This window comes from Homo sapiens, chromosome 20 (genome assembly GCF_000001405.40).
Source record: "Homo sapiens chromosome 20, GRCh38.p14 Primary Assembly".
In the NCBI taxonomy this organism is placed as follows: Eukaryota; Metazoa; Chordata; class Mammalia; order Primates; family Hominidae; genus Homo; species Homo sapiens.
This window is the reverse complement of record NC_000020.11, coordinates 57,589,993-57,602,580: the sequence shown is the minus strand read 5'-3', so window position 1 is coordinate 57,602,580 and position 12,588 is coordinate 57,589,993. Positions and strand designations below refer to the sequence as shown.

Sequence of the window (12,588 nt, the reverse complement as noted above, 5' to 3'; positions counted from 1 at the left end):
GTCTCCTTCACTGGCCTTGGCATCTGACACCCAAAAGCTGATGCCCCTGGGGCTAATGTCTACCTTGGCGGGGAGGGGCTGGCTCATCACAGGGCCTCAGTAAAAACAGTTATTGAACAAATTCATATCTCCTTGCCCAACTCGACTGGGAGGATCTTTAGGGTGGATGCTTTGACATATTGGTCAGAACCTAGACTGATATATAGAACTTACAGTTCATCCCTTAAAGGGGATTCGTAAGACATTGTTTGAGCTCCTTGATCCAGTCATTCCTGAAGCAGAACCTATCCTAGCACTTACCCATTAGAAGAACTGAGATGTCCCCTTAGTGCTGAAGCCAGCTCCACTGGGATTTCCATTTCTGAAGGGCAGCTGCCCCCTCACCTCCCCTACCCACTCCCCTTAGCTCACTGCTACTCAACCTGAGGCATGACCTTACCGAGAGATTTCAGAGCTCCCAGGCTAGCTGGATGCCTCCTGTCTGCTTCTGAAGCCTCCTCTGCTCCCCATATCAAACCCACACTTCATTGCCCCAACATTGCCTTGTCATTAGTCTAGCTCTCGTCCATCGAGACTCATTTGGTCGTAGATGATAGAAAGCTGAGACCTGCTTCAGCACAAAAGGGGATGCACTGGATCTTCTAATAGACAAGCCCAGGCATAGAGCCTGCTTCAGGAATGTCTAGATCCAGGAGCTCAGGTGATCTCTTAGAACTCAGCCTCGCTCCACCCCCCTACTGCTTTCCTCTGTTTTCAATGATAGCCCCCAGCAGCTCCAGGCCCCCACACCACTAGCTTAGCTACCCAGTGGAGAGGGATGACTTTCCCGACAGCAAAAGCCACAACAGATGGCTTTATTTGTATGCCCATTCCCCACCAGTCATTGGCCAGAGCAATAGAATGCGGTGATTGGCCAACTGGTATCACATAGCTTATCTCTGGAACCAGGATGGGGAGCAGCCACCCCCAGTCACATGGCCTAAGGGTGATGGATCAGCTGTTTTCTAAATTTACCAGGAAAGGGATGCTGGACAGGCTAGAACCTCAGAAGTCCGCTACACTCCCCAGCTTTGAATGAGGAATTTACTGGACTCAGGGGCCCTGGCTTTCAACTCTTATACCTCCAGGGTCCAATGTATGCTGGACAAGGCCCTTCACTGACCACATCCTGCAGGCTAACTCCTGTGCTGGGCCCTTGGGCTACTGAGAGTGGGAGACAAAGCCCTGTCATTGATAGTGGCTCACAGTGAGTCAGGAGGGGAACGTACACAGGCAGGGAGTTCAGAGCAGGAACCATCACAGGGAATCATGGGAGTGTGGGACAGGGGCCCAGACACAGCCTAGAGGGGTCCAGAAGGCTTCCTGGAGGAGGAGGGAACTCTCAAGAGCACATTTTTCAAGACCAGGCAGAGGGAGGAGGCTGCGTAGGGTGGAAATGGTGCTCTAGGCAGGCCACAGCTGGAGTAAAGCCATGAAGATCAGAACCAGCTGAGTTATTCAGAGAACCACCGTGGTTTGGGTATTGCCGGAGAGCCCAGCACAAAGAAGAGTGGAGGGAGGCTGGCTGCGGAGGCAGGTGGGGACCAGACCATGGCCGCTTGGGAGTTTGGACCAGACACTGCTGTACAAGCCAGCCCACAGGGAGGACTGGGCAGACCTAGGCAACAAGGTCGGTACAGCCATTGGATTGACTCTGGGGGATAGGGTGTCTTGTCCCATGGACTGGAGCTGCTCAGCCATACTGTAGGCAAAGTTATCTCAACCACCATGCTGATCTGGGATCCCCAGAGTATTTTCTCATAGAGTACCCAGTTTGCAAACATGAGTCACTAGGCAGGAGGGGATGAGAATGGGGTTTGTCTATCTTTCTGGGCGTGTCTTCCTGCTGCATGGAGCTGCAAATCAGTTGCTTGCCTCCAAGTTTGGCCAAACTTTGTGGATAACCAGGCCCCCTGTCAATGAGGAATCAAAATGCAGCTTCCACCCCCAGGCTGAATCAGAATACTCATTTTCCCAGCAAGATTTTCCCTGTGTAATTAATTTGTCATAAATACGCTGACAAAGCATTGCTAGCAGTTAATGGGGGCCAGAGGTGAAGGTCAATGTTAGTCTCCTTGGGAAGGAAATTAACTAGATACCATTAAAAGCAGAGAATGATTAAGTCCATCCACCCCTCAGCCCGCGCTGTGTCTAGCCCGCCCACCCACCCCTCCCTTCTGCCATGGTGTGTGCAAACGGAGCTTGTAGCCCCCAGAACTCGATGCAGGGAGGAGGAATTTGCTCCAGGAGTTGGAAATGATTTTCTGAAACCACCAACCTGCTCACAGATGCAATTTTATGTTCTCATTCCAGCTGCTCTCCTCCTCTCTGGGTGACCCCAGACAGGACTCCTCACTTGTGAGATTTTACCAGGCAACCAAAATTGGATGCTTAGAGCAGGAAGAAGAGTCTACAGAGGGACTCACGGGCATTTTGGCTTTGAATGGCCGAAGCCTAGCTCCCCAGGCTCAGGCACAATGGTGAATGTATTTGCTCATGCAACTGGGGAATCAAGGGACACTCATGTTCAGGAATGGTTGGATCCAGAGGCTCAAGCCTTCCTTTCAGGCTTCTTTCTCTCCAGCTCTCTGCTCTCTGATGAGTCTCTCTCCACAGGGCCCCAGCCACCGAAGGCTCAAAAAAAAAAAAAAAAACAAAACAAAACCCTGCATGGGGAGTTGTGAGAATCTGAAGCCTGATACTGCACAGAAAACCTATGAAGCCACTGGGTCTGGCCTGGAATGGAAGGCTGAGTGAATGTGGGAAAAAATTTTCAAGTGGGAAAAATGAAACCAATAAGATTTTTAAAAATACAGTCGGTTATGTATGTGTGGGTTCTGAGGATCGAAAATATCTGAAAAACAAGATGACTGCATCTGTACTAAACACGTGTGGACTTTTTTGTCATTATTCCCTAAATGATACAGTATAACAACTATTTACATAGCATTCACATTGTTTTAGGTATTATAAGTAATCTAGAGATGATTTAAAGTATACAGGAGGATGTGCATAGGTTATATGCAAATACTATATCATCTCATATCAGGGACTTGAGTATCCATGGATTTTGTACCCACAGGGAGTCCTGGAGCCAATCCCCTGGGGATACTGGGGGACGACTGTATGTTTAGGCATCTGTTCAATATTGTAGGTGGGATGTTGCAGATCTATTTGTACTTTTGAATCAAAACAAAAAGCAGGTTTTTTTGTTGTTTTTTTTTTAGCGTGCTTATTGACTCACAAACTAGCAGTGTTCAGGTAAGGCCTCATCCAGCAGCTCAAACAATGTGGTTCAGGACCCACTGTCCCTCCATCTCTCTTCATGGCTTCCCACAGACTCAGCTTTTTCAGGCTCCACACGGAGACTTTCCAGCCACTAAGAGTTCTGCCCTGCTGGGGACAAAATGGCTGCAGTGGTTCCAGACCTCACATTCCCACAGGGGACAAAAGCAATTTCTAAACCACCCCAGTATTTGCCACCTCCAATTGGGCATGGGGATGAGAGTCATTAGCTGTAGCCAATCCAGGCTCACCCCTGAATTTGGGGGTGCTTAGAATGGTGTGGACCTTCTGTGACAAGGGCATTTTCTAAGCATTCTTTAATCCTCCCCTTAAGTACATGAGGAGACTGGGGCCAAGGGAGGGTAAGTGGCTTGCCCAAAGCCACATGGCTGACAAGTGAGACCCATGTTCAAAATTCCAGATTGAAAACCAGATTTTTCCAGTCCTGGTGGTCAACCCATCACGGAGGATTTAACACTCCCATCTGCCAGGCTGCTAGCTCCCACGGATGACAGCAGACTGGCACCCACCCACGGGCAGCCACATCACCTCAGATGGGGAGGGGCCAGCAGGACCAGGATTTTGCATTCCATGAAAACCCTCTTCTGCAAGAGCTCCTGTGAAACAAGGGTTCCTTGGACAGTTGTGGATACGCAGCATGATGCAGCCCCCGCTGCATGATTCCAAGGCAGCCCATTCAGGGAGGTGAAACTACTGCTCAAGGACAGAGATAGGATTCAAACCCACTCAGGGAGGTGAAACTACTGCCCAAGGACAGAGATAGGATTCAAACCCAGCCATCAGGCAGGCTTGCAAGCCAGTGCTCTTAAACATGTTACTGAAAAAGCTGCCTGGGACATATCACCGCGGCCTGGCTGTCACCTCCCAGCCCCTGGCTGGTCAGCTCCCCCACTGTGTCTCATTGACCTGCCCCCCACGCCCACCCCGGGGCACAGTGGCCTTTGCCACAATCAGCTGAATGCCCCCAGCTGCTGGAGAAGCAATCCAGCAGGGCCAGTGCCGGCAAAGCCCTGAAGGCGGGAGTGTCAGCTGGGGGGCCGGGGGTGGGGAAAGGGGGGAGGGGGTCTGGCGCCCCTGGCTACAGAGCTCGAGACAGGCCTGGCCCTCCCAGCTCCACCTGCAGGTCAGGGGTGTGGGGGGTGAACTGCGTGGCTGGGAGATCCTGGAGGTGAATCTTTGATCCCCCCATTTGTGTGACTCCTCTCTGCCCCCAGCATCTGGCTTACCGGCTCTGAACCTCTGTCTTTCCCTCTCACCTCCTCCTTCCTCTTAGATGGACCCCTGTGATGACATCGAGGCCACCCTGATAATGCAGGATGACCCCCCACCTCACTATCTTTAACTTAATCACCTCTGCAAAGTCTGTTTCTCCATGTAAGGTAACATGTTCCAGGTTCTGGGATTAGAACACGGGCATCGTCCTGGGGAGCCTCACACAGCCCGCACTGCTGAGCATGCTTCAATGTGCAGGCTACCCCATGCCCTTCAACGCTCAGCGCACCCCATGCCCCTAACACAGACATCTAGCCCAGAGTGCCAGCAAGGCCCAGACTGAGAAGGTCCGTTACAGGCGCTGCTGCTGCTGTTAATATCACGAATATAAAAGAATAAATGGGGAAAAAAATAATGGGGCTTGGCGTCACAGCCCCTGGTGTGTGTAATCCCAGGCAAGTGAGTGTAATCTCAGGCAAGTCCTGCCACCTCTGAGCCTCAGTTTCCTACTCTGTTAAATGGGCAGAAATAGGGACAGACCCTGCCTGGTGGGAGCTCACGCTAAGAATGAAGGGAGCCCTTGCCCAGTGGTGCCCAGACCTGGGGGCTGAAGCCTAGGCCCTCCCGGGGATTGATTGACAGCCGTCTGTACAGGTGGGGCTAGGCCGGGAAATTGTCAAAATTTCCCCTGTGACACCCGCCCCGGGCTGAGATGTCTGGGCCGGCTTCCAGCTGTGGCCCCAGCTGTGACCCCAGCGGCCCCACCCGGGCTCCCGGAGAGTTAGGGCCAAGCCAGCCCCCGCCCGCGCCCTCCGCAGGTCTCGACTGCAGGGGCGGCCTGGAGGGGAGGAGCGCGGAGCCGGCCTTTCACAGCCTTGGCCCGAGCGCCCTCTGCTGGCCGCACGCCGCCGGCCGCCGCTCACCAGGCTGGGCTCGGAAACTTCCAGGGCCTGAGGTGGGGTCAGGCGGGGTGGGGGGGATCCCGTGTGACCCCCTCCTGTTCCTTCCCCACAAAGCAGCCAGACACACGTGTTTCCCCCACGGTTCCGGGGTGGTGCACATAAGCCTGCAGCCGGTCCACAGGCCCCAGGTGAAAGTTCCTGTTCTGCCCTCCCGGGCCGGGGGCGGGCTCCTTTCTGGCTGATGCCCGTGCCCCAAATTTGGGGGAAGGAGCACAAACCCAGCACCCTTCAGAGGCTGATTTTCTTCTATCGTGGGGAACACCCCTGCAACCTGGGTACCCCCGCTCAAGTCCCCAGTCCAGCTCCTGCGTGACTCCCAAGGACCCTACCTGCAAGCCCATCTGTGGCATCGAAGTCCCGACCCTGCGGGAGCTGATGCCCCCCGGACTCCCGCAGGCACTAACTCACTTCATCCTCCCACCGACTCCACGAAGAAAGGAATCTTTACCCCGTTTCACATGGAGAAAACTGAGGCACAGAGAGGTTAAGCTACTTGCCCAAGGTCACACAGCCAGTGAATGGCCCTCTAGGATTAAACCCAGGGCACAAAATGAGTACAGTCGACCTCCAAGTGTGGAAGAAAACCCACATCATCAACCCCTGTCTGGGAGGTAGGGAGGTGGGGCGGTGCCTCATTTGCAGGACCTGAAGAGAGGGCCCATTTGAGCTTACAGTCAGCCCACAGGCCCCTCTCTGGCTCACCAAGTGGGTGGATGCCTCCCAGGTCTACACAACAGTGTAGGGCCAAAGATACAAACTTGGACCACCCCAGACTCAAGGTTTTGCCCAACCATTTTCTAGCTGTGTGACCTTGGGCAAGTACCTAGTCCTCCTGCGCCTCCGTTTCCACATGTGCAAAATGGGGTGATCATCTGTGTTCAGGATGAAACTAGCAGGGGCCTGCCTCGTTGGTGCGGCCGCATCAGTGCTGTGGGTAATGGTCCCTCACCACGCCCCATCCTGAGCCACCCCCTTCTCTCCATCTGGCCCCTCCTTCTCTGACTCCTAGTCTAGCTCCTTGTTTGAGTCTGACAATGTGCTCAGGTAGGATGGATTCAGAAGCCATATCTGCCCCAAGCCTGGTGGACAGCGGGTTTACCCTCTGTGCTGTGACATGCCCAAGTGACCCGCTACCTTGAACCTCAGCACCCCCCACCAGCGTGCACCACACACACATACACACAGCTCAGTGCCCAGGTAGGGCCCAGGCCTCCAGACAGGGCAACTGCTTCCCATCTCACACACACAGCACCACGGCCACACTCTGCTGAATGTCACCTCCTCCCACTCTGCCCAGAGGTCCTGGAGTCACTGACAAAGGAAAGAGGCCCCCAACAAGACCTCCCCGAGTGGCAGCCAGGCCTGGGCCCCAGAGGGCTCCGCCACTGACCAGGTGTGAGATGTTACAAGTGTCATTGAATCCCTGAGTCTCAGTTTTCCCATCCGCAAAACGGGGTTAAATGAGATCATCGGTGGAGAGCCCCAGAGCAGGGGACGTCAGTGGGTGTCAGGGGACGTGGCTGTGTTGTCACAGCGCCCGTGGTTCCTGGCACAGCCACAGCCTCATGAATAGCAAAGGGTGATCTAACTCGGCACCCAATAAGTCAGGCCCCACCATGACCCCCAAGGAGGCATTTCAGCCCTTCGGCAGGTGACGAGAACAGGCCCCCATCCTGCAGCCGGTGACGAGAGCACAGGCCTGGGGGGCCGCAGTGCTCTTGTCCCACACCCTGTGGTCCTTTGAATGGTAACAAAGCTGACAGTTACCAAGGGCTGACCACAGGCCGAGCCCTGCGTGGAGTGCTTTACAAAGACCACCTGTTGAACACAAAACAGCCCTGTGAAGCATATGACCTGCCCGTGCGTCCATTTCAGGCAGTGTAAACCAAACCCTCAGGCTCCAAGAGGGGCCCCGGGCAGTTCACAGGGTGAGTAGCAAGTGCCCCTATGCTCCCAGCTTCAGACACAGGGAGGCGGGGGGCTGGCACCATGAAGTTTACCCCTAAATGTGGATTTGTCAAAACCCGTTTTGCACCAGAGAAATGAGGGCTTTGAAGTTCCTGTCTTCCCCAAGGGAGGCAAAAACAAAATGAAAAAACTCTGGAAAACTCACTTTGCTCCAAAGAAATCCAACCTACAGGGGCTCAGTCGACCTCAATCACTTTCTGGCCACACCCAAAGTGCGTGCACAGCTGCAGGAATGATGTTGTAAAAGTATATTCATTGGCACGAAAGAGAGCCACGATCTAGCGGTGAGTGGGAAACAGCTCGGCAGGTTGCAGACTCTCTGTGGGGTATGATTCACTTTTTGTATGAAAATGCCTGGATGGATGAAGAAAAGTCTAGAAAGAAATCCGTGCACATGTGAAGAAAGGTTTGTTCTGGGTGCGAAATTCCAGGTGGTTGCTTTCTTTTGGCTTTATCTGGGTTTTCTACTGTATCTGCAAGGTAAACATATTAATTGTGTAACCACAAACATCTACAAAATCGGAAGTGACCTAAAGGGACCGGCCTACTGAGCCTTGGCCACCGTGGACCCCGGCCTGGGCTGAAGCGGCCACGGCCTCAGCTCTAGCCACCAGGTGGCGCCCTTGATCTGTTTTTGCAAAAAAAAAAAAAGGCCCACAGAATTCGCAGGGCAGGAGGGCGCGGGGGCAAGGATGCCGCCCTCTGCCTCAATTCGGTTCCAGACCCCTGGACCAGGGGCTGGTCCCCGAGGTCCCATCCAGGGTCAGAGTTTCTGATTCTGAGACCCCCTACACCCACCCCATCTCTGCAGACCCTCAAATCCCAAGTCAGGCCGTTCGTCTGCGGAGCACAGGTGATGCTCTGCGCATGCCCGTCTGCCCAGAGGTGATGGCCTCAATGCGTCCTTCAGAGGCTTTGGGTCCAGTCCCTGCAGGGGCTGCCAGGGTCCATCTGTTCTGGAGGCTTCCCACCCACTTCTGAGACCTCTCCTCTGGCTCACCTCGGGGACTCGGTTCAAACGACCCCTCTCCCAGCCCAGGCGCTCTCTACTGTGTCCTGGTCTATCTGCTTGTGAGCACTCAGAGGGATCTGCCATTATTTTATTTCCTATTTCTTTAATTACAGTCTCTGTCCTCTGATGACACTCCTGTCTCCACCAGGGTAGGGGTCTCATCAGTCAGTTCCCCACGGGCTCCCCAGGGCTGAGAACTATGTCTGGCCCACAGTAGCACTCAATATGCACCTCTTGAATGAGTGAAGGAATGAACTCCCACAGGTGACTCTGATGCCCAGTGGGTGTGGAAACCTGGCCGATTAACCTGTCCCTTGGGGCCTTTCAAGATCTGGCCCGACCCACGCATCTTCCTTTTCTTACACCTTCTTCCTCGTTTGCTCCAAGGATCTAATTACTGCAGCTAGGAACACCCCTCTCCAGCCTCCCGGCCTCCGTTCAGTCAGTGCCTTCTGCCTGGATGTCCTGCCTCTTAACTTGGCCCATTGCCCTCCTCCTCCTCCCTGTAGCCCTCCCGGGCCTTTCCCTGAGTCGGAGTTTCTCTCTGTGTCCTGTAAACTCTACCCCACATCTCATGGGCCCCTCGTGTTCTGCTTGAGACACTCGTGTCTTCTCAAACGAGCAGCACCATTCCGGGGGCCAGGCCTGCACTAAGACCCTAGTGTGAGTGGTGGCTGACATCTGCCAAGGAGCTGGATGCAAATCACAGCTCCAAGGCCCCGCCCCCAGGCGCTGTGCGGGGAAGTTGGGTGTGACCAGGGGTTCAGCAGCCCCTCCCCAGGAGGCTCTGACACAGGCTGTGGCTGGCAGCCTTGGGGACTCACCTCTTACTTGGCCCAGGTCCTGGGGTGAGATTAAGAACAGAGAAGGGGCAGTTCCTGACCTTGGCCCTTTGTGGGACCCGGGGCTGAAGGGTAAATCGAGGCCTCCTGGTCCTCCTTGTTCTGCGGCAGAGCTGTCTGGGTAGCTGAGCCCTCTCCCAGGCTGCTTGGCTCTGGGCAGGTGCCCACCCACCCCGTGCCTGGTTTCCCATCAGCACTGACCTCGCAGAGTTATTATGGGGGTTTTAGGGAGTGGACACCTGTCACGCTTGGACAGGCCTGACACACAGCAAGTGAGTGTTTGTTGGACAAGAAAAAGCCTCACACAGAGAGCAAGCCCTCGAGTGAGGCACGCTCCCACCCAAAGAGGTGGCAGCTGCAGCAGGCTCGCCCGGCTTCGCATCCCTGCTCTGCCACCTGCCTGCAAGCCACCCTCCGAGCCTGGGTTTCTGCTTTTGTCATGGGGACCCTCATCCCGCTTGTTCTCCCACTGCACCATGAGCTCCCCAAGGCCCGGTGTCCTCTCACCTTTGTGCCCTCAGCTGGCGGCCCCTGGGTGCCATCTCTTCCCTTCCTTTCTCTGGCCCCTGTGCCCAGCCAGGCCGGTCCCATCCCCCCAGCCCACTGTGATTCCTGGACCAGGGCCATGGCAGCCAGGATGCATCTCGGATTCCCTGGGGGCCACAGTTGGGTCCGGAAAGATCAAGGTGCCCGGTAAGCCCCACAGCCTCTGAACCCACTTCCTGGGCTGCCACGCACCCCCACGCAGAACCAAGTGCACGATCTCTGGACCTCAGCTGGGGTTTGAATCCCACTAACCAGTGGGGGACTTTGAACAAGGACTTCACTCCAAGCCGGGGTATTTACAAAAACCCAGGTCTGGGTCCAGGTTCCGAGGTGGTGGCCGATGTTCCTCTTGAAGTCACCAGATTAAGCATTGATTTTTCTGGCTGATTCCAGTTTTGGACAGAGGATACCTAAGGCCAAGGCTGGAGGTGTCATAGACCGTCCAGAGACTTTCTGCCAGACATGAGGGGCTGCAGGATGGGGCTGGAAGTGACAAGCTCCCTCCCACCTCCTCTGCTGACTGTCAAGGTCCAGACGAAACCACCTTTCTGCCCCCACCCCAAATCCTGAACCTCAATCCCAGCCTGCACATCCAGAGGGGCCTCCAGGCTGGCCCACTCCTTCCCCGCCAGCTTGTCCTCCCCTGGTGGGGGATGGGCAAGGCCCAGTGCAGCTCCCATGTCCTCCTTGCCCTTCTCATTGCTCTGAGGGCTTCCAGCCACTCCTTGGTGAGATGGGAAGAGCCTGTCTCCCCAAAGAGGGGGCAGGAGCGCTCAGAGCAATGAGAAGCGCGACAGGCCCCCTCCCGGCGCCCCAGCAGCAGGGTAGTGTCCCAAGCCCTGCTCCCCACGTCTTCTCTTGGGACCCAGGCAGATCTCTGCTTCTGGTGAAGCCTCCTTGGGGAGGGTCCCATCAAAACCCACTTTTAGAATCCTCCATTAACCCATTCTCCCCACTTCCAAAACCACCTCCAGCCAAGCCACCACGTCTCTCTTGGCTATGGAAGGAATCTCCCCACTGGCCTCCCATGTCCCTCTGGCCCCTCTGTCCATTCTCTCAGCATCCAGGGGACCCTGGGAGCTACAACTCTAGTCCTGTTACTCCCTGGCCCCAACCTTCAGTGGCTCCCTATTGCCCCCAGGATCAGAACACTGAACTCCTGAACTCAGCCCTCAGTTAGCCAGACCCGGCCCTCCGACCGCTCTTCCTCTTCCTCCTCCTCCTGCTCCCCAGCCAAAACTCAGCACACCAGATGCACCCGTGCAGCCAGTTCCAGGCGCACTTGGCCTGGCCCTTGCCTCTGAACCCCTCTATAATGCTGTTCCCTCTCATGGAGCTCCCTTCCCACTTCTTCACACGCTCATGCCCTCAGGCCCCCAGGCCTCTTTCAGGTGCCCTCTTCCCAGCAAACTTTGCTCATGGGCCTGTAGCGTAGGCTGCTCTCCTAGGAGAACCGCCCCGGCCCCACAGAAGAGCTGCTCAGTTGGAGGCAGCTGTGTTGGGCAGACATGGGCCTGGAGCGACAGAGGCTGTGGGTGTCCCTGTGAAAGAGGACAGAACAAAACAGAGGGAAAGGCAGAGGAGTCAGTGGGTGCAGCTGCCTGCCCGGCTTGGTCCCCACCGGGCCTTCATGGGGCCACACTGCACCCACTGCCCAGGGTCCCTCCCAGTGATGTCCCCTCCACTCCAGCTGGTGGCAGTAGGTCTTCGTCCTGGCCTTGGGGTCTGTGATCCCAGGATCTAAGAGTTTCCAGCCACTCCTACACCACATCACGGGGAACTGGCTGTTGGACCAGGGTCTCTGAGGGGACACGTGCACCTCACCCCTCTCCACCCAGGCCTGTCCCACACCTGGCTTGGAGGTAGGTCCAGCCTCCTCTGCCATTTCCTACCATGGGGCCTGGACAAGGATCTAACCTGACAGAGCCTCAGTGTTCCCCCTCAGAAGTGGACACAGTGACAGTCCTTACTGCTCGCGTGTCGGGAGCATTAGACAGGTGGCTCCTGGGCGCAGGGCACCGTGCCTGGCATGCAGTGAGTGCCCAGTAGGCATGAGCCTCTCCTTGTTGATCTCATGCACCTGTTACCATGCTTCTCTTTTCTTTCTCATGTTTGAATCCAGCATGGTCCACTCCGCAAGGTGCGCAGGGTGTTTAGGAACACACAGAAGTCTGCTCTATGGGCTGCAGGAGGGCGTCTCTGCGCTGTCCAGCTTCAATTTCCCAGCCCCATTTCTCGTCTTATCCCATCCCACCCCTCTGGCTCTGGAAGGAACATGGGGAAGGAGGTGTGGGCAAGCCCAGGGGACCACTCCTCTAGCATCACAGCAGGGCCTCCCTTGGCTACGTCCAGCCACAGGGTGGGCATTCGCTCTCCCCACCGCTGCCCCTGCCCCTTCCCTGGGCAGGTCACCAGAACACCCCCATTGGAATGTTTGTGCCATCCTCGTGCTCAACCCAGGCCGTCCTGTGGCCTGAAAACTCCATCCAGGCCAAGTCCCGAATCCACGGAGAATGATTAACGGAGCCAGCTCGGGCTGGATCTCTTGCTGGAAACTTCCAGCTCTCAGAGACTCTGGCTATGGGTTAGCTGGGAGCAGCCCCACCCCATCTAAGCTCTTCCCCTCTGCTCAGGACTTTGGTCCGGAAAAACAAGGCCTTGCAAAGCCACCTGAGAGGGAGGTGGTTGTTGAAGGGGACAC

General features: G+C 55.7%; 3 annotated features.

The window, feature by feature from the left end:
• Positions 5,336-5,509: a silencer, noted in NCBI's record as "fragment chr20:56172128-56172301 (GRCh37/hg19 assembly coordinates)". NCBI's record gives its function as "represses an EF-1alpha promoter that drives an FKBP-Casp9 reporter gene in an ReSE screen in HepG2 liver carcinoma cells {active_cell/tissue: HepG2}" and the evidence as "EXISTENCE:reporter gene assay evidence [ECO:0000049][PMID:32094911]".
• Positions 5,530-5,589: a silencer, noted in NCBI's record as "silent region_13064". NCBI's record gives its function as "represses an Ori minimal core promoter by ATAC-STARR-seq in GM12878 lymphoblastoid cells {active_cell/tissue: GM12878}" and the evidence as "EXISTENCE:reporter gene assay evidence [ECO:0000049][PMID:35858748]".
• Positions 11,833-12,588: an enhancer, noted in NCBI's record as "H3K4me1 hESC enhancer chr20:56165049-56165804 (GRCh37/hg19 assembly coordinates)". NCBI's record gives its function as "activates a minimal SCP1, AML or CMV promoter by ChIP-STARR-seq in naive H9 embryonic stem cells {active_cell/tissue: H9 hESC(naive)}" and the evidence as "EXISTENCE:reporter gene assay evidence [ECO:0000049][PMID:30033119]".